We start from the raw sequence: 22,155 nt of genomic DNA, 5'->3' as shown, positions 1-22,155 counted from the left end.
TGAGATCCTCAAGAGCTTCAGCTCCTTTCCTGCCCTTTCTCTGGCACCTCATCTGTGAAATGGGACAACGCTGTCTCCTTCTGAGAGATGGGTAAGGATTAAATGCAAAGCTCTTCTCACAGTGTGGGGCACATGTGAGCATTCAGGTAAAAGTTATCACTATTTATCTACCCTTTGAAAGAGTACAGATTTCCCCAAACCTCTCATTTCCTGCAACCTGCAGAGAAGACTGCTGTGGTCATCTCATTTGAAGGAAAGCTTCTGAAGATTTTCAGATAAAGAGCAGATGAAGAGCAATGGACAGCGGCTAACAGGCTGATTCAGAGCTGTGGTGGTTCCCTGCTGGGACTCAGCATAACCTGGGACAGGAGTCAGAGCTACTGGCTCCTCTGTTGGCTTTCCGCTGTGTCGTCACTTCCCTTCAGTATAACCCGGCACTCCTACACAGCTGGGGCCTCCTTCCTGCCCAGGAGCCTCACTGCTGACATTGCTCACTGGCTGCACACACCCAGAAAGCCAGGCACACCTCCCTGGAGAGAACCCCCATACTGGTGGGCTCCGTGGGAACACGTGGGGCCAGGAAGAGCAGCCAGCTGACGTGGCAGGCCCGAGGGCAGAGATTCTCAGAAGCAGCAGCGGCTGGGACCACAGGGTAGACTTGGGCAGCGGCCCAGCTCAAACCCACAACACCAGGCCCGCCCACACTGCCACAACTCCCCAGCCTATCCCAGTGGGATATGGTGGGGCAGGTGGGGGTAGCCCTGAGCCCACCACAAAGGCAGCCCGGACACCACCTCCTTCTCTTATCCCAGGAAGGTGCCACATCTCCAGCTCAGCCTGTGGTTCTCAGATCCCGTGCACCCCCACGTCCCCTGCAGTCCTAGGGACCCATGCCCCGCCACCACCAGGGGGCGCCCGGCAGCCGGAGACACTGTGGAAGGAAGTGGGGGCTGGGCAGCACTGGGGAGCGTTTTGTTTCAGAAAAGCAGCCTCAGCCAGGGGCGACTGGGGAAGGTGTCCCACCCACCAGCCCGTCCCTGGGAAGCCCCCAGCCTGCAGAGACTCGGCACACACAGAAACCATGGCAACGGGAGGGAGGGGCAGAGACCCCGCCAGACAAAGGCCCTCTGAGCCCCGCCCCTGGCGTCTCTTCCTTCCTCCAGGTGCTGCTCCCCGGCCCCCCTCATTCCCTCCGAGAAGGCTCAGCACGGGTCCGGCACTGGGAGGCAGGGACTCGAGGTCTTGAAAGGGACCGGCAACACTCCCACCCATGTGTGTGGCATGGCCCTATAACGGATGCCTGAACAGACCAACAGACTCCACACCTCCCTCCCGCCAGTCTCTGGCACTCGGCTGCCTCCAGCGGCTTCCAGGGGTTCACAGTGCCCAAAGGGGAGCACTACCAAGCAGGGCCTGGCTTCCTACTGCCAAGTCAGAGATCTCTGTGTTAGGGAAACTGAGGCCTCAGGTCCTGCCCACACATGGGAAAGTCTTTCTGGGGCAAGGTGTGTCTCCCTCAGTGGGGCCCTTTCCACTGCACAGAGGGAAACTCAGGCACCGGGTGAGGAAGGCTGGCCTGATATAAAGGAGGCCCCAGACCTGTTCATCGCTGGCGCCTCAGGCCCCAGGTACCGCCTGTGCAGGAGCCAGGAGGTGCTGGACAAGACGCGGATCACGCGGAGCTGGGCCATTTGGCACCGTCTCCCTGGAGGCCTCTTCATTTCAGGCATCCCTCCGCTGTTCCCAAGGCACCTGAATGACCTCTTTTCCCTTCTGATTCATGGCGGTGGACTCTGGGAAAGATAACGGGAGCCTAGGCCTCATCTATGAAATGTACCCCTTGAGGGAGGGTGCCAAACCCAAGGCCTGCCCTGAGTAGCCTCTTCAAAGTCACCCCAAACTGCCTCAGGGCCCAACCCAAGCCAGCAGCTGTCCTTGTGTCCACAGGCCAGGAGACCATGCTAAGAATCACGGCACTGGCGGGGCGGGGTGGCTCACGCCTGTATTCCCAGCACTTTGGGAGGCTGAGGTGGGCGGATCACCTGAGGTCAGGAGTTCGAGACCAGCCTGACCAACATGGAGAAACCCTGTCTCTACTAAAAATACAAAATTAGCCGGGCATGGTGGCACATGCCTGTAATCCCAGCTACTCTGGAGGCTGAGGCAGGAGAATCACTTAAACCTGGGAGGCGGAGGTTGTGGTGAGCCGAGATTGCATCACTGCACTCTAGCCTGGGCAACAAGAGCGAAACTCAGTCTCAGAAAAAAAAAAAAAAAATCACAGCATCACAGATTCTAGTGCTGGATACAGAGAGGGAAGAGGACAGTCTGAGGTCTCATGGTGAGGAACTGGACCCTCTGGGACCCACAGTCTTGGGTGGCCATGAGGATGCACGGGTCTCTGCTCTGTGCATGGCTTCATGGCCCAGAGAGGCTTGGACGCTTCTGCTCTGGCTCTCCTAAGCCTTCCTCAGCCCCCTCAGTCCCTTACGGCCTGGCCTGGCAACACAGCAGAACCCCTAGGAACCCCTACAAGAGAGGGCAAGGCCCCACTAGGCCACAGCACTGAGATTCGGAGGCCAAGGAGCAAGAGGAACCAGCCTCAACAACTATCATGCAGTCATCAGCCAACACCATGGCCACATTCTACCACCACACAGTACCGTACGTGCACCCAGCACTGAGCCTGTGCTCACAGTGCAGCCCTAAGGAACATGCTTTCATTTCACTCCTCTGGACAATTCCCAGTCTCAGAGGCCCTCACCATGGACTTCAATAGCTTCTGAGCCTTCCCCAGGCTTGGTCTCAGTCTAAGACTGGGGCTTATGGGAGAACAAGCATAATATTAGGGAAAGAATGAAGTCCTAAATTGCCAGCTATAACTTGAGCATCACTGTGAGAGGATACGGACTAGGAGAAAAAGTGGGAAGTCAAAAGGTGCAGCTGCAGCCGGGCGCAGTGGCTCACACCTGTAATCCCAGCACTCTGGGAGGCCGAGGCAGGCGAATCACTTGAGGTCAGGAGTTCGAGACCAGCCTGACCAACATGGTGAAACCCCGTCTCTATTAAAAATACAAAAATTAGTTGGGCGTGGTGGCACGTACCTGTAGTCACAGCTACTCAGGAGGCTGAGGCAGGAGAATCGCTTGAACCCAGGAGGCGGAGGTTGCAGTGAGCCGAGATCATGCCACTGCACTCCAGCCTGGGTGACAGAGTGAGACTCCATCTCAAAAAAAAAAAAAAAAAAAAAGGAGTGGAGGGGGTCCCCCATGACCACATGGCTGTAGAAAGCTTCATACACAGAGTCTTGGGTCCCACCTTCCAGGACAGACAGCTCCCTTTCCGCCTCCTAAAAGAAGAATTGAGGCCCGAAAGCCAGGGCCCATAGGCACAGGCAGAACACACACGCACCCACACCGTCTGCCTGCTGTCCTGCCTGATCCGTTACTTCCAGCCAGCACAGACTCCCAAAGGGCCATGGCAGTTGGAGGCAGGCGCTTAATCACTACATGGGTCATGTCCTGACATCTCTGTTCCCTGTTTAAGTGCATAAAGTCCCTGAGCTTCAGTTTGTCCATCAGTGAAATGGGTGTAATATCAGTCCCAGCCTCACAGGATTAAATATGACAAGATAATGAAGAATTCAGCTCCACACAACAGTCAAGGCTCAATCAGAGACAGCTGTGGTTATCACCTGAGGGGAAACAGGCCCAGTGAATGCAGCCCTAGACCCAGTGAGTGGGTGCTGGTAGGGGAGAATCCTTAGGCTGAGGCCAGGGATCCTTTGTCCGCCCCCCAGCAGGGGAAACCCAGAGTGAGCTCATCTCGGGGCTGTTGCTGCATTTCCAGGCATTCATCTCAGCCTGTGGCTGGCCTTCCGGCTTTGGAGAGCAATGGCCGCTCGGGAATCTAAGAGCAGCCCTCTGCCTTCCTGCTAGCCCTCCCGCCAGCGTCCTTCTCCCAGCCACAACTTCCTGTGGCCAAAGAAGGGGCCTGGAATCCTTCTCGAAGGCACCACCTTCTCTGGGATCTTGGGCCCGATGGTTGCTGGGGTGGGACAAGGTACAGAGCTACCTGGACTGGCTCCAACTCAGTGACCGCCACTAGAATGGCCCACAGGAGTGCAAAGATAAGCCTGGGCAGGTGTTCACCTCCTAGACCCTTCCAGTTGGCAAAGCCCTGGGGGGCCCTTGGGCTCTCACCCCCACCCTAGCACCAGGCAGCCCTCTGGCCTCTTCCTCTTTTGGGCTCCTCCTCCCCCAGCTGCTTCCTCCTTTTCCTCTGGTGTGGACACCACTTCCCCGAGAGGCCCAGCCCTGCCCTGCCATGTCGTGCAGACTTCATTACCTCCTCCTCCCGCCGGGGGCACACACAGTAGGTGCTGCCATCACCTCCTTTGCATATCCTGAGGCTGTCAGCAGCCTTGGAGCCCCCAGATTCCTCCAAGCCATAAGGATATCTTCTCCCCAACAAGGCTGAGATGACCCCACCTTTAGGCCTTTGCTCAGACTGGTGTGGTGCTGCCTTTCAAGCCTTGTAAATGTGCACAGAGGCCGGCACAGAAGAACCAGCCCAGCAAATGTTTGGTTATTCCAGAAAGATTCTTCCTCCCCAGCCACCAAGAGCAGCCACAGCCCCAAGAAGTAACATCAGGGTGAGGGTGGGGTTGGGGTTTAGTAAGAACGAGAGCTTCAAGCTAGAAGGGCTGGGTGGGGCTGGGCAGACGGGGTTCCACCCTGCACCTGTAGCTGAGGGAAGGGCTGCCTGAGAGCATCAGGTACCAGGGACACCATCAAAGGGCCCAATCCTTTGCCTTCCCCAAAGCACCTTGCAGAGCACTCTTAGGCAGGGTGTATCAGCAGTGGCCTGGCCAGAACCTGCTGACCCCTTCCCCTCCTCGCTCAACTCCTAGGCTGGGATTCCTGGCCTGAGATGCTGGGAAGATGAGACTACTCCCTGGCCTGTACCTTGCCCCCATCTGCCCGGTCCTGCCTCCCCCCACAGCACAACGGGATGTAGGGGAGGCAGCACTCAGGCTCTGGGGTGACAGTCTCCTCCTCTGCTGTGGGTGGGGTGGGGGGAGTCCCTGGTTCCTCAGTGGCTAAGAGCTTGGGTGGACAAAGCTTCCTCCATCCTGTTCCCGCCAAGTGAATGGGTGGCTTTTAGAGACAGACTGAGAGAGTCACAGCCAGGGACCAAGAACTAAGATCAACGGCAGAGTATACAGGACCTGTGTGTCTGCCTGTGGCCCAAGTAGCCCCAAGTGCACCTACTGCCCCACCCCCTGCAGTGCTGGAGGCCTAGGGACCTTGCTGGGACCTGACCACACCCCACCCTCAGCACTACCTGCTGCCACTTGCCAGGCAAACTGATGTTCAAGGGCCTGGGACATCAGTGATGGCACTCAGTGACCCTACCTCTCAGGCCACCCAGGGCCAACCGCTGACAAGCTGCCCAGGGCCAAAGGGGTCCCGGACCATCCCCAGGCCCCATCCAGCAGCCTAGGCTCTGACACATAGTGGGTGGTGTGATGCTGCCTCAGGGCTTCTGACATGGAAGCCTGTGTCCCGCAACTGGTTTGACTTCCACCTCCTGCCACAGCAGCGCGGCTCATTCTCTCTGTCCTCACACCTGCTCTGCCCTCTGTCTGGGGTTCCTCTCCCCAACCCGCCTGGGATGCCCCCAGCTGAGCTCCAGCTGCCCTGATTCACCTAGTCTCTCAGCTCAGAGGTATCCCTTAAAGGACCTAGTCTCACTCCTACCCTAGAGGTATGACCTCATGTTGGCTGCACTGACACTGGCGTGAGAGGCAGGGGCTGAGCCTAGCAGAACTGGGCAGGATGCAGGCAGAGGGGGTCAGCTATAGCTTGGACCCCTGTTCACTCCTTAGTGTGGGAGCTCTATCCCTGCCTGCTCCTGCAGACAAAGCCCCGACAAGCCTGGGGGAGGGGTGGGAAGAAGAGACTCAGAGGCCCAAGCCGCCCCGCCCCCCATTCAAGTGCTAATGAGCTCCAGCAGTGAAGGAGAGGGCTGGGGTAGAGTGTAGGGGCTGGAGGCCAGCCTGGGTGGGTACTGGCCCACCTGGCACCCAGGGCCCTACCACATCTCCAAACCTAGACCCCCAGAGGTTGGGCCTAAGGTCCCCAGGGCAGTCTGTCACTCCTGCTGGCACCAACTATCTGCACGCCTTGGGCTCCCCACTTGCTGTGAACAGCTGCCTGAGGGCAGGGGAGGGGGTTCCCTAGGGCTCCAAACCCAGGCCAGGCAGCCTCTAGGATGGGAGACTCCTTCCCACCAAACTCTCAGCAGTGGGTCCCTCATCCATTTTCTTTTTTTTTCTTTTTTTTTTTTTTTTTTGAGACAGAGTCTTGCTCTGTCCCCCAGGCTGGAGTGCAGTGGCACCATCTCGGTCCACTGTAACCTTCACTTCCCAGGTTCAAGCGATTCTCGTGCCTCAGCCTCCCGAATAGCTGGGATTACAGGCACATACCACCATACCTGGCTAATTTTTTTGTATTTTTAGTAGAGACGGGGTTTCACCATGTTGGCCAGGCTGGTCTTGAACTCCTGACCTCAGGTGATCTGCCTGCCTCAACCTCCCAAAGTGCTGGGATTATAGGTGTGAGCCACCGCGCCTGGCCTCCCTCACCCATTTTTCATACCTCCAAGCTTTGGTAGACTGTCCCCATAACCTGTGGCTGCAGGGAGGCACTCTGCCCCCAGGTTATGAGTGGAGAGCAGGACTCCTGCCAGGGCTTCACCTGATGCTGAGTCTCTCAGCCAGTGCCATAGGTGGAACTGGGATTCGAACTCAGGTCTGGATGACCCCATGGGCTGGTCCAGGGAGGGTGGCCCTTTCCCCACCAGGCCAGGAAACACCCACCCAAGCTCTTGGGAATACAGGCCAAGTCTTCCTGCTGCAGTGTTCTTGTCGAGTTGGTCCCTCTGACCCCCAGTGCCTGGCCCTGGCAAATGGTATTCATCCTTCACAGCTGCCCAGCAGACCCCCTCCTCCAGGAAGCCCCCCTTCACAGGCACCATTAGAGTCTAACTCACTACCCAGCCAGCCAGAATCCCAAGCTAACCCTTCCTATCTGTCTCTAGCTAGACCAGGCTCCAGTGGCTGCCCCAGGATTATACTTACTCCTCTCCCAGGAGCTCTGCCCTGTTCATGGACATGTTCAATCACTTCATTCTGTCCATATACCCTCATTAGGCATCTATAGTATGCCAGCCCTTTGCAAGAGACACAGACAGGACAGAGGCCACAAAACCCCCTTTCTTTTCTTTTGGTAAACTTCATTGAGCCCTTGCTATGTGCAGTCTCTGCACTGGCCAGTACCAGGACTCTCACAGCATTGCTCTGGTCTGAGCCCCAGGGCTGCGGAGCAGCCCCTGCTGGACCAGCCAGCTCAAGCTCGACTGTGGCTACTGCAGTGTCAGAGACAGCAGCCCTCTAGCAGTGCACCAACAGCCTGAGTTGGAAGGAAGAATACAAAGCCACTCTGCTCAGCAGGAGTTCCGCACAGGGTGGGATAAGAACTCTCTCAGGTGCCAGCATAGCCTGTGGCGGGGCTGGGAAGAAACAGCCTGAAGAACTTTTCTCAGTGTCCCCTCAATGCTGGTCACCAATCCTGTGGTGGGCCTGTGGGCCCTTGCCACCTGCCCACAGTATGCAAACTGCCGCTCAGTTTACTCCACCATCTACCCAAAATCAGGTTCAGAGGATACTTCCTTCATTCAACAAACAGATGAGAAGCACCCAGTAGATGCCAGGCTCCATGCTGGGCACAGAAATGAAGAGGACTTAGCCCTGCCCTGCAGTCTCCAGGCATCTGAGGGGGGAAGCAACAGCGCTGGGAGCCAGATGTTTCACCAGCCTTGGTCGAGGGAGGATGTCCAGGAAGGATCCTGGGAGGTGATCCCAGAGTAAAGTTTTAAAGAACAATCAAGTAGGGAACAACACACACAAAGTTCCAGGGGCAAGAGAGAACTGCTCTGTTTACATTCTGAAGCCTTTATGGAGCCAATGGTGGACACTGTCTCCTTTTTTTGTGAAGCTGTCCACACAGGCCCATCCCAAATCAGAGACTCTCCCCCCTCACATACACTCTGGCTTCCTTTCCCTTAAGAGCCCAGACCAGGGTCCCAGATTCCACCTGGGCCTAGCTGATCAGTCACGTTGAGCTGGGTAGGAGTGGGGAGCATCCCTAGAATAGGACTGGTATCTGCTCCCCCTACAAAGTTGCCAGGAAATACTCTCTTGCCTGTGTGTACCACATCAGCCTCTGCCCTGGTGACAAGGACTGTGCCTGCCTGCTGGCAGGGCTACCCAAGATGGGAGGGAGGCGGTGTGCGGGCGGGGCAGCAGGCGTGGTTCTGGCTGGGAGGGAAGGCTGGCAGTTGCCCAACCTGAGTCCCGTTGCCTGGACAAAGTCTCCCGCTACATGGGACAGGCGCCCAGAACTCTGAACTTACCACAGCTGGGCTCCCATCACCACCTTGCACCTGGATGGGAAAGGCATGGCTCAAGCCAGGATCCCTCCCCAGGCAGCCATGGCAGACTGGGTCATCAATATCAAGCAGAGCTTGGTCAGAGCCCTTTGCAGCACACTGCAGGGTCTTTACTCCCAACCTACATCCCCAACAAGAACCACCAGGAGGCTCTTGTTCTCCCTCCCCATCCTGACCTGGGGCACTCCTTTGGCCAAAACCCAGGAAGCCCATTTCACAGAGTAAGCAAAGGCCAGAAGGCCAGGACCCCAGGGTGAACTTCCCAGGCTAGAAAGTGCTAAGCCAGACCCTGCACCCCTGGCTGCTGCCAGCCCAGTGTGGGAGGAGTTACCAGGTCTCACTTGCCTTAGCCCAAAAGGTGAGCTGGGCTCCAAGGAGCAGGCCTGGTGGGATGGGGGACCCTTCTGGTGTCGGGACACAAAACTAGCCAGAAGCCCTGCGTTCCCCCAGCTCTATGGTCCAGTCTTGCATTTCCTCGGCCACCACAGTAACTGCAATCGCCTGGGGAGAGGCTGTCTAGAGACTCCTGGCTGGGCACTGGGAGGCAGCGGTACCGGAAGTGCCCTCCCCAGGCCCGTCGGGCAGCAGCAGCAGCAGCGACGGGCATTCCGCCGCGTCGACACCCACTCACTGCCGCTGCCGCACTCACAGCAGAGACAGGAAGAGGCAAGCGCCCAACGCAAAGCAGCCCAGGAGGCTGGGCCGCCGCCCCTTCCCGCCCCTTCTCTTCCTCCCTGAGGCAGCAGCGAAGCGGATGCCATTTTGAAACCTCCAAGGCTGTGCCCCGGAGGCCGGGTCCGCAGGGACAGTCAACAGATGGCCCATAATGGACATACATGCTGTTCCTCGGCCACAGGTCCAGCACGAAAAGCCCTGCTTTTCACAGCCTGGGAGCCCTATGACAGTTCTGAAGTCGAGGGGCCACACCCCCCCATGCACTTCTCAGCCTACAACGGTGCTGCGCTGTTGCAAGGGCCTCCCTCCCCCCAACTCTAAAACCCCCAAATCAAAATTAGACTGCCACTGGGCACCACACCTACTTCCAGTGGGAAGCTGGATGGGGACAGCCAGTAGGCCCACCGTCTTTGCAAAAGGCCAGCTGGGATGCTCAGAGGCACCCTGGCCCACCCCCAGCTGGCCCCTCAACTCCTCATTCAGCTAGTCCACCATCCCCCTTCACAGGGTCCCAAGATCCAACAAGCCCCCCAACTCTCAGAGGCTACATCCCAGGCCTTGCAGCCCAGAAGGGGTGTGGGCAGCCCAGCACCTACTAGCAGATCTCCTGGGCTCACCCGCAGGGGCAGCAATATGTCGGCTGTCTCACCACTTCCACTTCCCCCCACTCCTCTAGCAGCCACCATCTTTTCTGGCCTTGGAGGCGGCCACAACCCTAACTCCTCCACTCTCTCTCCTACTTCCCAGACTGGCCTTCGAAACTGGAAAACATAGAGCCTCCTTGGGAAGCCTGAGGCCTGGCCCCCTCCCCCAGCGTGACCAGTGGAGCCTCAATCCAGCCCCGTGGGGGTTCTGCATAAGGCAGCCTAGGCCCTCTCCAACCCAGGGCTCCCGCCTCCTAGCCCAGCCCACTTGGTGCAGGAAGGGTGGAGGGATCTGGGGAAGGCCAGAGTGTAAGAGGACTTAGGGGAGGATCAGCAGAGGGTTTCGGGAGTGATGCCTGCAGAGAAGGATCTGGAGGGCAGGAAGCAGGGAGCAGGGCTCGCTGAAGGGGTTCCAGCTGGAGATGGGGCTCAAGAGCAGTTTCCCACTCGAGAGGTTCCTTGGGTCAGAGTGCACAGGTGGAGGATACAGATTCCAGACTAGGGATGGGGCACAGAAGGAGAAGGAGGGAGTGGGTGGGGGGCCTGGCAGGGGCCCCGCGGGATGCTCATGCCCAATAGGAATAAAAGGCGCAGGTGAGGAAAACAAGCGGAGCCTGAGGGTTGGGGAACAAGTGGCGGGCATCCTGGGGGTTTGGGCAAAGTGTAGGGAAGGATGGCGGGGCTCTGAAGTTCTGTGAAGCTAGTTAGCAAGGGGGGATGGCCAAGCAGGGCACTGGACCGCGGGTGTTGGGGCACTGTTGACTGGATTTGGAGGTCTGGGGTCTGGGATGAGACAGGGGTCTGGTCTAGAGTCTGGGCAGGATCAAAGGTCTAGTCCAATCTAGAGTTTTCAACCCTGGTCCTGGCCCAGGTGTGGGGTCCCAGACAGCCCGGGTCTGGGAGTTTGAAGCCCTAGTCTGGGAGGTCAAAGTCCTTGTCTGGGGATTCGAGCTGGGAATCAAGGATCCCAGTGCGGGACGCGGCCTCACCCAACAGCAGCAACTTCACCTCCCGCGCCGCCTTCTCTCCGTCCTCCCGCAGGTTCTTGTCGATCATCTTAGAGCGCTCGGCCGCCGCCTTGTCCTCGGCGCTCACGGTGCAGCCCATCCCGCCGTCCGCCGGCCCGGCCGCCGCCCGGCCCCCACACGGCCCACGGCCCGGCTCGGCCCCGCCCGACCCACTCCGCTCCCACCACCAGCCCTCTGCGGGAAGCACTCGGGTCGGCAGTTCCGAGCGACTGCGGGAGGCGCCTTCCCTACCGCCGCGCACCGACGGCGGGGCGGGCCGGGGGTGGGGCCTGGGCGAACCAAGCCTGTGACTGGGCCGGGGCGGGCTTGCAGGCGGGGCCAGAGGAGATTAGAGGCTGTTGATTGGCTCGAGGGCGGAGCGAAGGGGGAAGTTAGGCGCAGCCCAGGCTCGGGCCTGGGCTGCAGGCGGGGCCACGCGGAGAAAAGGCAATAGGGGTGGTTCCAAACCCCGGGACCCGGCACTGGGCGGGCTGCAGGCGGGACCGGGCTGTGATTGGGTGCGGAGCGCCGGGAGCTCTGTTGCTGGACAGCCGGGAGGGCGGATCTGTTAACCCGAGGGTGGGGATCCGGTGCCCTCGAGGGCAGAGCAGGAACCAGCCCTCTGAGCTTCTGCGAGTTGGGCGAGTTAGGTGGAGGAGGCGTGTCTTTGTCATTTGTTAAAGTTAATGAGTCCAGTAAACTTGTTTTGGGATCTACGAACTCGGGAGCCTTTCTGGACTGCGGTTTTCTCAGTCTTAAGGCGGGTTTACCGCCTTCTCCCTCTGGGTTGCAGCTAGTCGAAAAAGGAAAAAAAAAGGCCGGGCGCAGTGGCTCACGCCAGTAATCCCAGCACTTTAGGAGGCCGAGGCGGGCAGATCACTTGAGGTCAGGAGTTCTAGACCAGCCTGGCCAACATGGTGAAACCCCATCTCTACTAAAAATACAAAAATTACCCGGGCGTGGTCGTGGGCGCCTGTAATCCCACCTGCTCAGGAGGCTGAGGCGGGAGAACTGCTTCAACCCGGGTGGCGGAGGTTGCAGTGAGCCGAGATCGCGCCATTCATTGCACTCCAGCTTGGGCGACAGAGCAAGACTCCGTCTCAAAAAAAAAAAAAAAAATTGGTTTCCATCTTTACACCTTTGCCTAGGCTGTCTCCTTTAGCTGGGTGGCTTCTCATATCCATCCTTCCCCAATCTACCGGGAGGCATTCTTCGGCAGGCAGCCATCCTGGACTCCAATCTGGGACCAGGCAATCAGGACCCAAGGGAGAAAGGGAGAGAGGATGAGAGGGTGGAGAGGGAGGAAGAGAGGAGGGCGGGCAGGCAGGGTGAGGGGGTTGGGAGGGAAGAAAGAGGAAGAAGTTGCCACTGGACTTCTAGAAACAAAAGTGGCCATGATCTTATGACCTGTCTCTTCCATGGCCTGTCCACGTCTGGAGGTGGCCATGATCCCACATCCCACCCTCCTGTGGCCTGTCCCCACTGGGCAATGGCTGCAACCCTATGGCCAGGCAAAGGTGGGGTGGAAGCAGCAGTGTTTCTAGCTGAACATTTCAAGTCTTTCTGATCCTGTGCTCCAGGAGCAGCCCAGAGCCCCACCCTCGATTGGACATTTGAAGGGTCTGCCAAAAATTAACCACGAAGGCATTTTGTGTGACCCCAGTGCCATGAGGCTAGGAGGCCCCAGCCCAAAGGGAAGGCCCCTGAAGCAAGACAGGGTGCTTGCCACCAACAGCCCGGTGTTTAGCATAAACCCCTTCCTTAGAACCTTGGTACACATTTTGGCTGGGCATGGTTGCTCATGCCTATAATCCCAGCAACTCTGGGAGGCTGAAGCAGGCAGATCTCTTGAGGTCAGGAGTTCGAGACCAGCCTGACCAACATGGAGAAACCCTGTCTCTACTAAAATACAAAAAATTAGCGGGGTGTGGTGGTGGGCACATGTAATCCCAGCTACTTGGGAGACTGAGGCAGGAGAATCACTTGAACCCAGGAGGCGGAGGTTGCAGTGAGCTGAGATCATGCCATTGCACTCTAGCCTGGGCAAGAGTGAAACTCCATTTCAAAAAAAAAAAAAAAGACCGGGCACGGTGGCTCACGCCTGTAATCCCAGTACTGGGAGGCCGAGGCGGCAGATCACGAGGTCAGGAGATGGAGACCATCCTGGCTAACACGGTGTATTTTGTACTAAAAATACAAAAAATTAGCCGGCGTGGTGGCGGGCGCCTGTAGTACCAGCTACTCAGGAGGCTGAGGCAGGAGAATGGTGTGAACCCAGGAGGCGGAGCTTGCAGTGAGCTGAGATTCTGTCTCTGCACTCCACCCTGGGTGACAGAGCAAGACTCCGTCTCAAAAAAAAAAAAAAAAAAAAAATCAGCTGGGCGTGGTGGCACGTGCCTGTAATCCTGGTTACTCAGGAGGCTGAAACAGGAGAATCACTTGAACCTGGGAACTGGAGATTGCAGTGAGCTGAGATCACACCACTGCACTCTACCCTGGGCAACAGAGCAGGACTCCGTCTCAAAAAAAAAAAAAAAAAAAAAGAACCTTGTTACACATTTTGTTCCAGCTCCCAATCCCCAGGCTGGCTGTTCTCCCTGGAGTGTCTGCATATCCCTATCTGAATGTCTCTCTTGTTGAGGGGTCATTGGCCTGGAAGTCCTCCAATGACTCCCTCAGGCCCCCCTCCTGTCCTGAGACATAGGATATGATGTCCCATGTCCACCACTGCTCTGAAGCTCAAGCAGGCCCTGCCATGGGCATGCAACATGTTGAGGACACATAATGTCCACCAGGGCCACAGATATGCTGTAGACACCCACACATAGGTCAGTCTCCAACATGCCTCAGATCCACAGAACACACTCTACAAAAATGGGTACACATGGCCAAGAATACAATCTGTCCACGCACAGACTACAAACTGGCTTCCAAGGTGGGACCCTCCCCTTCCCTCTACCTGTCACCCTGCCCCAGGCTTGAGAGCTGATCCTCGCTCCTCTGGCCTCTCTAGCCTGCTCCTAGCAACAGCCAACAGCTCTCACAGTTGCCAGGCAACAGGGAGAACCTGTCAGCCCCTTGGAGGCCCAGCTCTCAGTAGGTGGGCGCAACACAGACCCCAATCTATGGAGGCAGGGCAAGATGGGGCTACTGGAAGGCATGGCCTTCCCCAGCCCCAGGCCAGGTCCTGTGGTTATGGCACCCTTCCCGCCAGTCAGCTGCTCCTTTCCAGTCCTATGCTCTTCCCAGGGAGTCCAGCAACCCTTGCTTCCACCCTGCTAGCTGCTCCTTCTCCATCTCCATGGGGTCCCCAGGGCTATGGCCAGGCCTCTGCTTGCCACTCCACTCATACACCTCCCACTCTGGGGGCTCAGAACCCCACAAGGTCCTCTCCAGCCTGACTTCTTTGATTGCCAGCCCCATGTCCACCACTGCTCTGAAGCCTCCCCGAGACACCCAGGCACCTCAAATCCACACTGTCCAGAACTGGGTACATCCCATCCCACTGGCCCCTGTTCCCAGGCTCTCCACCACTTCATGATCCCCCCACCAGCCACAGCAATGACCCCCTCCCCTACCCCTATATGCCATCAGCCTCTTCCCTACCTCAATTTCCCCTCCAATCTGTATTTGTTCTCTGTCCCCACTATCTCCCAGCCTAGGATTCTAACGTCTTCCTTGGCTCTCCTGTTTCCCTACAATTTATCCTCCACATGGCAGCCAAGGGCATCCTACTGAAAGAAATCACATCACCCCCTTGCTCGGAAACTTTCTGTGGTTCCCCAATGCCCTGAGAATAGATGAAGCCCCCACACACACTGGTTTGGACTCTGCAGCAGTTGGAGGCTGTAGGCTGGCAGTTGGAAGCAAAGACTCTGAGGAGCAGTTTGCAAACTTGCCAGCTACTTGTTACTTTGGACAAGTACCAGAAACTCCCTGTACCTCGGTTTTCTTATCAGTAAAATGGGCCTAACGGTTATACATACCCAAAGCACAGGCAGAGGTCAGGACTCCAGGAGGAAACATGTAAAACATGCAGAATGTGCATGGCACATAGAAAGCCCTCAATAAGGGTGAGGTGTTATAGTAGTGATTTCTTTTTTTTTGAGACTGAGTCTGACTCTATCACCCAAGCTGGAGCGCAGTGGCATGATCTTGGCTCACTGCAACCTCCGCCTCCTGGGTTCAAGTGATTCTTGTGCCTCAGCTCCCCAAGTAGCTGGGATTACAGGCGCCTGCCACCACACCCGGCTAATTTTTGTATTTTTAGTAGAGATGGGGTTTTGCCATGTTGGCCAGGCTGGTCTCAAACTCCTGACCTCAGATGATCTGCCTGCCTCGGCCTCCCAAAGTGCTGGATTGCAGGTGTGAGCCACCGTGCACGGCCCTTTTTTTTTTTTTAATAGAGATGAAGTCTCACCATGTTGTCCAGGCTGGTCTCAAACTCCTGGGCTCAGGCAATCCTCCCGTCTTGGCCTCCCAAAGTGCTGGGATTACAGGCATGAACCACTGTGCCTGGCCCAATAGTAGCGATTTCTGTAAGGCTTTATGATTGTCCCCACTCAAGGGTCCACCTCATGTCCCTCCACTTGCAACACACTGGCACTCCAACCATCTGGCTTGCCTTGCTCTCTCCATCCCTCGATCTTCCCTCCCATCCCCCTACCCTGTTAAATTAATCCCTCCTCCCCACCTTTCATTCCCTGGCTGTGAGCTGGGCTTCTCTGAGTCCCATTGTCCTCGGGCTTCCCCTTCCCCAGCCAGATCCCACTATTCTGGTCGTGGGTCTCTCCCACTCATATCCCTAATTCCAGGCCCCTTGCAGGGTGGCAGGTAAATATGTATCAACTTAAATGAATAAGGCCGGGTGCGGTGGCTCGAGCCTGTAATCCCAGCACTTTGGAAGGCTGAGGTGGGCAGATCATGAGGTCAAGAGATCGACTATCCTGGCCAACATGGTGAAACCCCATCTCTACTAAAAATACAAAAATTAGCTGGGCGTGGCAGCGCATGCCTGTAATCCCGGCTACTTGCGAGGCTGAGGCAGGACAATCGCTTGAACCCAAGAGGCAGAGGTTGCAGTGAGCTGAGATCGCACCATTGCCCTCCAGCCCGGCAACAGAGGTAGACTCTGTCTCAAAATCAATCAATCAATCCATCAATCAATCTCTTCATCCTGGAGCTGGGAGCTGCTGCCCCTCTGGAAATATTCATGTAGTTGTATACGCAGAGAAAAGAGAAACCAATAGTGCCTGGGAAGGTCAGGAAGCTTTCTTTGAGGAGGTGATGCAGGGAGTGCTAGAGGGAGAAGAACAGTGCGGAAGAATATTGCAAGAAGATGGAAGAGTACATGCAAAGGTAGGGTGGTAGGTCTGAGAGGCAGGGGTCTGGGGAAGGGCTAGCGAGAAAATTAAGGCTGAGAGCTGAAGAAACAAACCCCTTGCTTTGCAGCTGAGTCAGCTGAGGTCCAGAGTGGGCCAGGAGCCAGTCACAGTCATCAGTGAGGTACATCGTGGGCATCTCAGTTTCTTCATACTCAGGAATCCAGGAGTCCTTTCAGGAGAGTTCATTTTGGGGGCAGAGGGCAGCTGCCTAGCCAGGGCCTCACGAGCACCAGAGGAGGCATGACTTGACCCCATGCCCACCAGGCCCAGCACCGCTTGGACTAGACCATAAAGGACAATGGAATGACATCAGCAGAGTTGAGGGTGGCCCCTCAGCTGGAATGGAGAAGTGGCAGCTGCTGGTTCACCCCTACTGCCAGAATAGTCTTGGGGCTCACCACAGGCAGCACAGCAGGTCCAGCTTGGCCTGAGTTCCTATCGAGCAGTAGCCCTGAGCAGGTTGAGGAATGAAGACCCTCTCAGTGGGCTGTGACATGCTTGCCTGCAGGCTCTAGGAAGGGGAAGCTGCTAGCACTTCCCCAAAGGCAGTTTCGGGGTGGGTGTGCCTGTCCCTGCCCAGAGTCCAGGACTAGGTAGGACCCCACAGGGATGCCCAGAGTTCAGGATCCTGACCACCCTACCTCCACGGCTCCCAGATGACAGGGAGTCCCTGGCCAAGGACCTGTGACCAACTCAATCACAGCCTTGCAGCTACTGCTTGTAGACCTCGTGGCTACAGCTTGCTCCCGCCTTACTGCCCTGGGGCAGGTTCTACTTCCTGGTTCAACTCCTGCGCTTTCCCCTTCCTGCTTCTTAGCCCAGTGGAAGTTCTGAAACTGGAGTCAGCCATCCTGCCCTCCCTCCCTGCTCCCTTGCAGACCCCTCTTCCCAGGCCTCTCTTCGTCCAGGAGGAAAACTCAAAAGCCTGGGGGTCCTGGATCCCAAAGTCCCCCTTTCTGGTCATCCACCCTCTTCACAGATCATTGGCTTTGACCTGGAGAATTCAGGCCCCAGCACCCCTTCCCCATAAGCTTCTGGATTAGGCAAGGGGGCCCAACCTGACACAGGGGTGGCGGCTGGGGGGCAGTGCGGGAGGATCCAGAGGAAGGGGTCATCTGTTCAACCACTGTTCCCTGAACATATTGCCTGCCAATGTGCTGAGAACCCTATGGTAAAAGAGGCAGCTGGGCCCTGTCCTTGAGGAACACACACCAAACAAACAGGGAAATGAACTTCACCATTTCAGAGGAAATCAACAGGGTGACACTAGAGCCACTGGGAGGTATGTGCAGGAGAAGATAGTCTGAGGAGGGGATCTTTGAATCATGTGGAAGGACCAGTCTTGTAACAAGCCAGAAGAGAGTGACGACAGAGGCAGCAGCAAGTGCAAGGGCCCTGGGTTGGGAAGGAGCTGGATGCTCCCAAACCAGAGAGGAGTCCAGCCGGGCCAGAATAGCGAGAGCAAGAGAAGACTGGTGTGAGAGGGGACTGCCATGAGGCATCATGGAGGAACAAGCCACACAGGGGGTTCCAAAGTCTCCAGGGGATGCTGAGGTAGGGGCACCAACATCTCCAAGCCAGTGATCCACACCTAGCCCTACAAACCCAACTGGTTCTGGCATTCAGGGTGTTCCTGTATGACTGGGGAGGAGCTACCCAAGCCCTGCAGGGAACTCAGGAGCTCTCAGGGCTTTGGGGCCAAGGCCTAAACTTAACCTCCCTCCTTTTCTTTGTCCTTGAAGAGTTCATGGTACAACCTGCCACTGTGCCTGTTGCATAGGCAGTCTCCAAAGGCCACCTCCCCTGGGAAGCCCAGGGTCCTTGGGGGGCCTGGGAAATGATAATCAATTCTATTCCCAGGAGCTACTGCTTTGTTCATGTTATTGCCTAGTCCTCCTTGCCATGCTTTCCAAAGGCTGGGGCTGGTAGCCTCTCCCGTGACTCGTTAGGGCTGTCATTAGCACTGCTTCCTGGAATTTAATTTAATGAAGGAGCAAAAACAGCCCTAATGAAGGTGATGCAACAGCAAACAGCCAAGCAAGGTGCACCTTGCCAGCTGGGCTCAGGGGCTTCCTGTAGATTGTGACTAGGAGCAAGGGAGTAATAGGGGAGGAGGGACCTGTTGCGGGAGGGAAGCTGGTCACTGAGTTCTGGACGCACAAGCATCGCTCTGCCTGTACCGTATGGAGCAAATACTGCGATCAAGGCCAAGCAGACAGAGTTAGGGAAGTGGGCCTTGTCAGGAGTGACTTCAGGCTGTTGGAGAAAAAGCTTTTGAAAAGCTATCAGCCAGTGCAAAGGCCCTAATGTGAGGGCCAGCATGGCATGCCATGCCAACAGGACAGGCTGTGGGCTAGTACCAGGGGGCAGGGGTCAGCAGGGGCCAGATCATCCCGGCCATGGGGCAAGAAAGTTTAAATTGCATTCCAAGTATGAAGGAAACAACTGGAGGGTGTTGAAGGCAGAATGACATCATCTGAATTTTTTTTTTTTTTTTTTTTGGAGACGGAGTCTTGCTCTGTCACCCAGGCTTGAGTGCAGTGGCGCGATCTTGGCTCACTGCAGCCTGTCTCCCAGGCTCAAGCGATTCCCCTGCCTCAGCCTCTGAGTAGCTGGGATTACAAGGCGCGCCCCCACGCCCAGCTAATTTTTTTGTATTTTTGGTAGAGACGGGGTTTTGCCATGTTGGCCAGGCTGGTCTCAAACTCCTGGCCTCAGGTGATCCGCCCACCTCGGCCTCCCAGAGTGCTAGGATTACAGGCGTGAGCTACCGTGCACCGTGCCCGGCCAACATGATCTGATTTTTAAAGTTCCTTCTGGTTGCTATGAGTAGTAGAACCTGAGGATAAGAGAGATGGGAGGATAGGAGGTGGGCACCATTCGAGGGAAATGGAGTGAAGCCTGTGGAGACAGGGCTGTCCCGTCTCCGGGGAGAAGAGAGCTGGTGAGGGGGCGGGGAGCAATTATAACGGGAGTGAGTTTTTGTTTCCTCCAGCAGGTTTGGGCGGGCTGGTCCCCATTCAGCCTTCCCTCCAAATGGGCGTGGCTCAGACACCTAAAGATCGGTCTAAAGGGGCTCCCAATGTCCCCGTATCTGCTTTCCCGCCTTTGTGCACCTCTCTACCTCTAGGAAGCCTTCCTTGCCCTGTCCTGGGTCTTGGCCAGCGGTGGGCTCCCCAGGGACCTCACCAGGACGGCATTTTGCGAGGTAAAAAGCCAGGAGGCTCAGCAGTGGACCGAGAGCTGCGCAGGGTGCAACCTTGCAGGGTGCTACCTGCCCTTGGCCCTGCCCACCGCAGCCCCTCCCTAATTCTTATTTTCCCCCTTGTCCACTCCCAGTGCAACCTCCTAGTTCTTCACCTCCCCCAGGTTCTCTCACCCACGCCCCGCCCAAGGCGTCCTCCCCCGATTCTGGCCTCTCCTGCAGAGCCGAAGCCGGAAGCGGCCTCGGGGTGCGCTGCACCGCCTCTTCCGGGGCCTCTCTAGGCCGGAGCGCGGGATTTCGGTGGCCGGGAGAGGCCGGAACGGCTTCGCGGGGCAGCGGCGCCTCCTGGCGGGCCTGGGGTGCGGCGCGGGAGCCGAGGCCGACCTAGCACCTCCCCGCGCCCCAGCCCCCGCCTCGCGGCCCCCACTCACGGTGGCCCCCGCCTTGCCTGCTCTCCTGTCTCGCTCTGCCTCCGGGCCTGGCCCCCGCCTCCGCCGACCTGCCACTCCTTGGCCGTCGAGGCCCGGTCTCCGCAGAGCTGCAGCCGTCACGCGTCCTCTTGCAACTAGCCCTCTGTGGCACCCCATCCCCCTTGCCCCGCGCGGGGCCCCACCTCGCCAGGGTCTCCTCCGCGATAGCCGCCATCGGCTTACCCTCAGAACGTCCCCAGTGACACCCGCCTTTCTGCTTCGTCCAGCCTAGCGTCTTCACACCCTCCGTCATGAGACGCTCCCTCCTTCTCGCGCTTCCACTTCACAGCAGAGATTAGACGGTGATGTGGGTGATTCTCCCGCTGGGCACCTCGCCTGCTTCCTGAGGGCGGAGTAGCTCCGCATCGCCCATGCCAGCCTAGGGCCGCTGCGCCGTGGGGGCTCGGATGACTTGCTGAGTTTGATTTCAGAGTCATCGGGAGGATAGAGAGGAACTGGGTAAAATTTGCTCTCAGAGGCTCACGCCTGTCATCCCAGCACTCTGGGAGGCCAAGGCGGGCGGATCACGAGGTCAGGAGATCGAGACCATCCTGGCTAACACGGTGAAACCCCGTCTCTATTAAAAATACAAAAAATTAGCCGGGCGCGGTAGCGGGCGCCTGTAGTCCCAGCTACTCGGGAGGCTGAGGCAGGAGAATGGCGTGAACCCGGGAGGCGGAGCTTGCAGTGAGCCGAGATCGCGCCACTGCACTCCGGCCTGGGCGAAAGAGTGAGACTCAGTCTCAAAAAAAAAAAAAAAAATTTCTCTCAGAACACATAGTCAATGGCGGACATAGTCAATGGCGGGTCTGGGGGTCCGGCCTCTTCCTCTACTCCGGGCTTCCCCCAAGGTCAGGCAGTCCGTGGGGGGTCTGGCTGGCTCCCTGCAGTACACACCTGCGCCGATGCCCAGCGTTGAGGCCCTACCCATCCCGGGGGACCTTTCCCCTCCCGCCTCCCGCCCTTCTGTCGGCTTTCTTCCCACGGATCTGCCAGGAAGCCTTCCAGGACTGTCCTGGAGCATCAAGGCTCGACCGCACGGCCATGGGTACCGACCATCCCAGCCACACGGCTGGGCAACGTGTGGTGGGTCACCGCGCAGCCAGACTCCGGCTGGTGACCGCCAGGGGTCAGCAGAGGCCTCCTTTTGCATAGCTTGGCGGATTAGGTCGCTGGCTAATCCTGTGTGTGTAGCCAGGCGGTTTGTAGACTTGTGTGGTTGGAAAGTAGTTTTATGCTTTCAGATTTTTCCAGGGCTGCTCTTCTTTCTAAGCAACCTTCAGTCAATTATTACTGCTCCGCGTTGTTGGAAAGTCAGTTGCTGGGTGACTTTAAACTAGGGTCCAGGCAGACATCTTTTTTCTTTTCTTTTTTTTTTGGAGACAGGGTCTTGCTCTGTAGCCCAGGCTGGAATGCAATGGCGAACTCGGCTCACTGCAACCTCCGCCTCCCGGGTTGAAGCGATTCTCTGGAGGTGCCTCAGCCTCCAGAGTAGCTGGGACTACAGGTGTGTGCCACCATGACCGGCTAATTTTTGTATTTTTAGTAGAGACAGGGTTTTGCCATGTTGCCAGGCTGGTCTTGAACTCCTGACCTTAAGTGAATCCCAAAGTGCTGGGACTACAGGCATGAGCCACCACACCTGGCCTAGGCAGACATCTGAATTGTCCCCTGGGTCTCTCCACGGCTCCTTGCCATCCTTGCCTGCGTCTTGGACCCGCTGTGTCCCTAGCCACCAGCACTTGACCAGGCAGGTCAGTGGCCAAGCTGCACACTCCCTGATGTCCAGACCCCCACTATCCAATCTCTGTCTACTGTTTTCCAGCTCAGTTTCCAGCACCCCCATCCTGGAAGTCTTTCACTGAGCTCAAACCTACCCTCCTACCAGCTGCTTCCATTCTCTCACCTCAATACCTTCTTCTTTCCAGTCTTTCTTCCTCCCACCCACAGACGGAGTCTCACTCTGTTGCCCAGGCTGGATTGCAGTGGTGTGATCTCGGTTCACTGCAGCCTCTGCCTCTCAGGTTTAAGCAATTCTGCTTCAGCCTCCCGAGTAGCTGGGATTACAGGTGTGCGCCATCACACCTGGCTAATTTTTGTATTTTTAGTAGAGACGGGGTTTCACCATGTTGGCCAGGCTGATCTCAAACTCCTGACCTCATGATCCACCCGCCTCGGCCTCCCAAAGTGCTGGAATTACAGGCGTGAGCCACCGTGCCCGGCCAACTTTCCAGTCTTTCTTAAAAGCCACTGTTG

General features: G+C 57.2%; 1 protein-coding gene and 1 non-coding gene across 8 annotated transcripts in view, besides 19 other annotated features; both read right to left on the bottom strand.

The window, feature by feature from the left end:
• The window catches only part of GNAI2 (G protein subunit alpha i2), a 32,295-nt gene extending 12,087 nt beyond the window's left edge, over positions 1 to 20,208 (bottom strand). For 2 of the 7 annotated variants that reach the window (NM_001282619.2, NM_001282620.2), the window contains exon 1: positions 20,083 to 20,208. Coding sequence is in view for 4 of the 7 variants with exons in the window: in NM_001282620.2 (NP_001269549.1) it covers positions 20,083 to 20,152 (70 nt within the window). In the remaining 3 variants the exon portion in view is untranslated. Of the gene's footprint in view, positions 1 to 200; positions 367 to 10,822; positions 12,081 to 16,277; positions 16,740 to 20,082 lie in introns of those variants that run through there. The other 5 variants (NM_002070.4, NM_001282618.2, XM_047447979.1 and 2 more) reach the window with 4 other exon arrangements.
• Positions 206 to 921: an enhancer, noted in NCBI's record as "H3K27ac-H3K4me1 hESC enhancer chr3:50283787-50284502 (GRCh37/hg19 assembly coordinates)". NCBI's record gives its function as "activates a minimal SCP1, AML or CMV promoter by ChIP-STARR-seq in naive H9 embryonic stem cells {active_cell/tissue: H9 hESC(naive)}" and the evidence as "EXISTENCE:reporter gene assay evidence [ECO:0000049][PMID:30033119]".
• Positions 922 to 1,637: an enhancer, noted in NCBI's record as "H3K27ac-H3K4me1 hESC enhancer chr3:50283071-50283786 (GRCh37/hg19 assembly coordinates)". NCBI's record gives its function as "activates a minimal SCP1, AML or CMV promoter by ChIP-STARR-seq in primed H9 embryonic stem cells {active_cell/tissue: H9 hESC(primed)}" and the evidence as "EXISTENCE:reporter gene assay evidence [ECO:0000049][PMID:30033119]".
• Positions 1,090 to 1,189: an enhancer, noted in NCBI's record as "active region_19895". NCBI's record gives its function as "activates an Ori minimal core promoter by ATAC-STARR-seq in GM12878 lymphoblastoid cells {active_cell/tissue: GM12878}" and the evidence as "EXISTENCE:reporter gene assay evidence [ECO:0000049][PMID:35858748]".
• Positions 3,257 to 3,866: an enhancer, noted in NCBI's record as "H3K27ac-H3K4me1 hESC enhancer chr3:50280842-50281451 (GRCh37/hg19 assembly coordinates)". NCBI's record gives its function as "activates a minimal SCP1, AML or CMV promoter by ChIP-STARR-seq in primed H9 embryonic stem cells {active_cell/tissue: H9 hESC(primed)}" and the evidence as "EXISTENCE:reporter gene assay evidence [ECO:0000049][PMID:30033119]".
• Positions 3,799 to 4,158: an enhancer, noted in NCBI's record as "active region_19894". NCBI's record gives its function as "activates an Ori minimal core promoter by ATAC-STARR-seq in GM12878 lymphoblastoid cells {active_cell/tissue: GM12878}" and the evidence as "EXISTENCE:reporter gene assay evidence [ECO:0000049][PMID:35858748]".
• Positions 3,799 to 4,588: a biological region, named in NCBI's record as "H3K27ac-H3K4me1 hESC enhancer GRCh37_chr3:50280231-50280841".
• Positions 3,867 to 4,477: an enhancer, noted in NCBI's record as "H3K27ac-H3K4me1 hESC enhancer chr3:50280231-50280841 (GRCh37/hg19 assembly coordinates)". NCBI's record gives its function as "activates a minimal SCP1, AML or CMV promoter by ChIP-STARR-seq in primed H9 embryonic stem cells {active_cell/tissue: H9 hESC(primed)}" and the evidence as "EXISTENCE:reporter gene assay evidence [ECO:0000049][PMID:30033119]".
• Positions 4,449 to 4,588: an enhancer, noted in NCBI's record as "active region_19893". NCBI's record gives its function as "activates an Ori minimal core promoter by ATAC-STARR-seq in GM12878 lymphoblastoid cells {active_cell/tissue: GM12878}" and the evidence as "EXISTENCE:reporter gene assay evidence [ECO:0000049][PMID:35858748]".
• Positions 5,399 to 5,458: an enhancer, noted in NCBI's record as "active region_19892". NCBI's record gives its function as "activates an Ori minimal core promoter by ATAC-STARR-seq in GM12878 lymphoblastoid cells {active_cell/tissue: GM12878}" and the evidence as "EXISTENCE:reporter gene assay evidence [ECO:0000049][PMID:35858748]".
• Positions 5,689 to 5,738: a silencer, noted in NCBI's record as "silent region_14387". NCBI's record gives its function as "represses an Ori minimal core promoter by ATAC-STARR-seq in GM12878 lymphoblastoid cells {active_cell/tissue: GM12878}" and the evidence as "EXISTENCE:reporter gene assay evidence [ECO:0000049][PMID:35858748]".
• Positions 8,142 to 8,751: an enhancer, noted in NCBI's record as "H3K27ac-H3K4me1 hESC enhancer chr3:50275957-50276566 (GRCh37/hg19 assembly coordinates)". NCBI's record gives its function as "activates a minimal SCP1, AML or CMV promoter by ChIP-STARR-seq in naive H9 embryonic stem cells {active_cell/tissue: H9 hESC(naive)}" and the evidence as "EXISTENCE:reporter gene assay evidence [ECO:0000049][PMID:30033119]".
• Positions 9,260 to 9,339: an enhancer, noted in NCBI's record as "active region_19891". NCBI's record gives its function as "activates an Ori minimal core promoter by ATAC-STARR-seq in GM12878 lymphoblastoid cells {active_cell/tissue: GM12878}" and the evidence as "EXISTENCE:reporter gene assay evidence [ECO:0000049][PMID:35858748]".
• Positions 10,865 to 11,324: a silencer, noted in NCBI's record as "silent region_14386". NCBI's record gives its function as "represses an Ori minimal core promoter by ATAC-STARR-seq in GM12878 lymphoblastoid cells {active_cell/tissue: GM12878}" and the evidence as "EXISTENCE:reporter gene assay evidence [ECO:0000049][PMID:35858748]".
• Positions 10,865 to 11,804: a biological region, named in NCBI's record as "H3K27ac-H3K4me1 hESC enhancer GRCh37_chr3:50272904-50273514".
• Positions 11,194 to 11,804: an enhancer, noted in NCBI's record as "H3K27ac-H3K4me1 hESC enhancer chr3:50272904-50273514 (GRCh37/hg19 assembly coordinates)". NCBI's record gives its function as "activates a minimal SCP1, AML or CMV promoter by ChIP-STARR-seq in primed H9 embryonic stem cells {active_cell/tissue: H9 hESC(primed)}" and the evidence as "EXISTENCE:reporter gene assay evidence [ECO:0000049][PMID:30033119]".
• Positions 11,805 to 12,415: an enhancer, noted in NCBI's record as "H3K4me1 hESC enhancer chr3:50272293-50272903 (GRCh37/hg19 assembly coordinates)". NCBI's record gives its function as "activates a minimal SCP1, AML or CMV promoter by ChIP-STARR-seq in primed H9 embryonic stem cells {active_cell/tissue: H9 hESC(primed)}" and the evidence as "EXISTENCE:reporter gene assay evidence [ECO:0000049][PMID:30033119]".
• Positions 16,490 to 16,719: an enhancer, noted in NCBI's record as "active region_19890". NCBI's record gives its function as "activates an Ori minimal core promoter by ATAC-STARR-seq in GM12878 lymphoblastoid cells {active_cell/tissue: GM12878}" and the evidence as "EXISTENCE:reporter gene assay evidence [ECO:0000049][PMID:35858748]".
• Positions 19,628 to 19,997: a silencer, noted in NCBI's record as "silent region_14385". NCBI's record gives its function as "represses an Ori minimal core promoter by ATAC-STARR-seq in GM12878 lymphoblastoid cells {active_cell/tissue: GM12878}" and the evidence as "EXISTENCE:reporter gene assay evidence [ECO:0000049][PMID:35858748]".
• Positions 19,786 to 19,840, bottom strand: MIR5787 (microRNA 5787). The gene has a single exon (NR_106714.1). It is a non-coding gene; the product is annotated as a microRNA 5787 (primary transcript).
• Positions 20,510 to 21,319: an enhancer, noted in NCBI's record as "H3K4me1 hESC enhancer chr3:50263389-50264198 (GRCh37/hg19 assembly coordinates)". NCBI's record gives its function as "activates a minimal SCP1, AML or CMV promoter by ChIP-STARR-seq in naive H9 embryonic stem cells {active_cell/tissue: H9 hESC(naive)}" and the evidence as "EXISTENCE:reporter gene assay evidence [ECO:0000049][PMID:30033119]".

The sequence above is a fragment of the Homo sapiens genome, chromosome 3 (assembly GCF_000001405.40).
Source record: "Homo sapiens chromosome 3, GRCh38.p14 Primary Assembly".
NCBI classification, from domain to species: Eukaryota; Metazoa; Chordata; class Mammalia; order Primates; family Hominidae; genus Homo; species Homo sapiens.
This window is presented reverse-complemented; position numbering and strand designations above follow the sequence as displayed.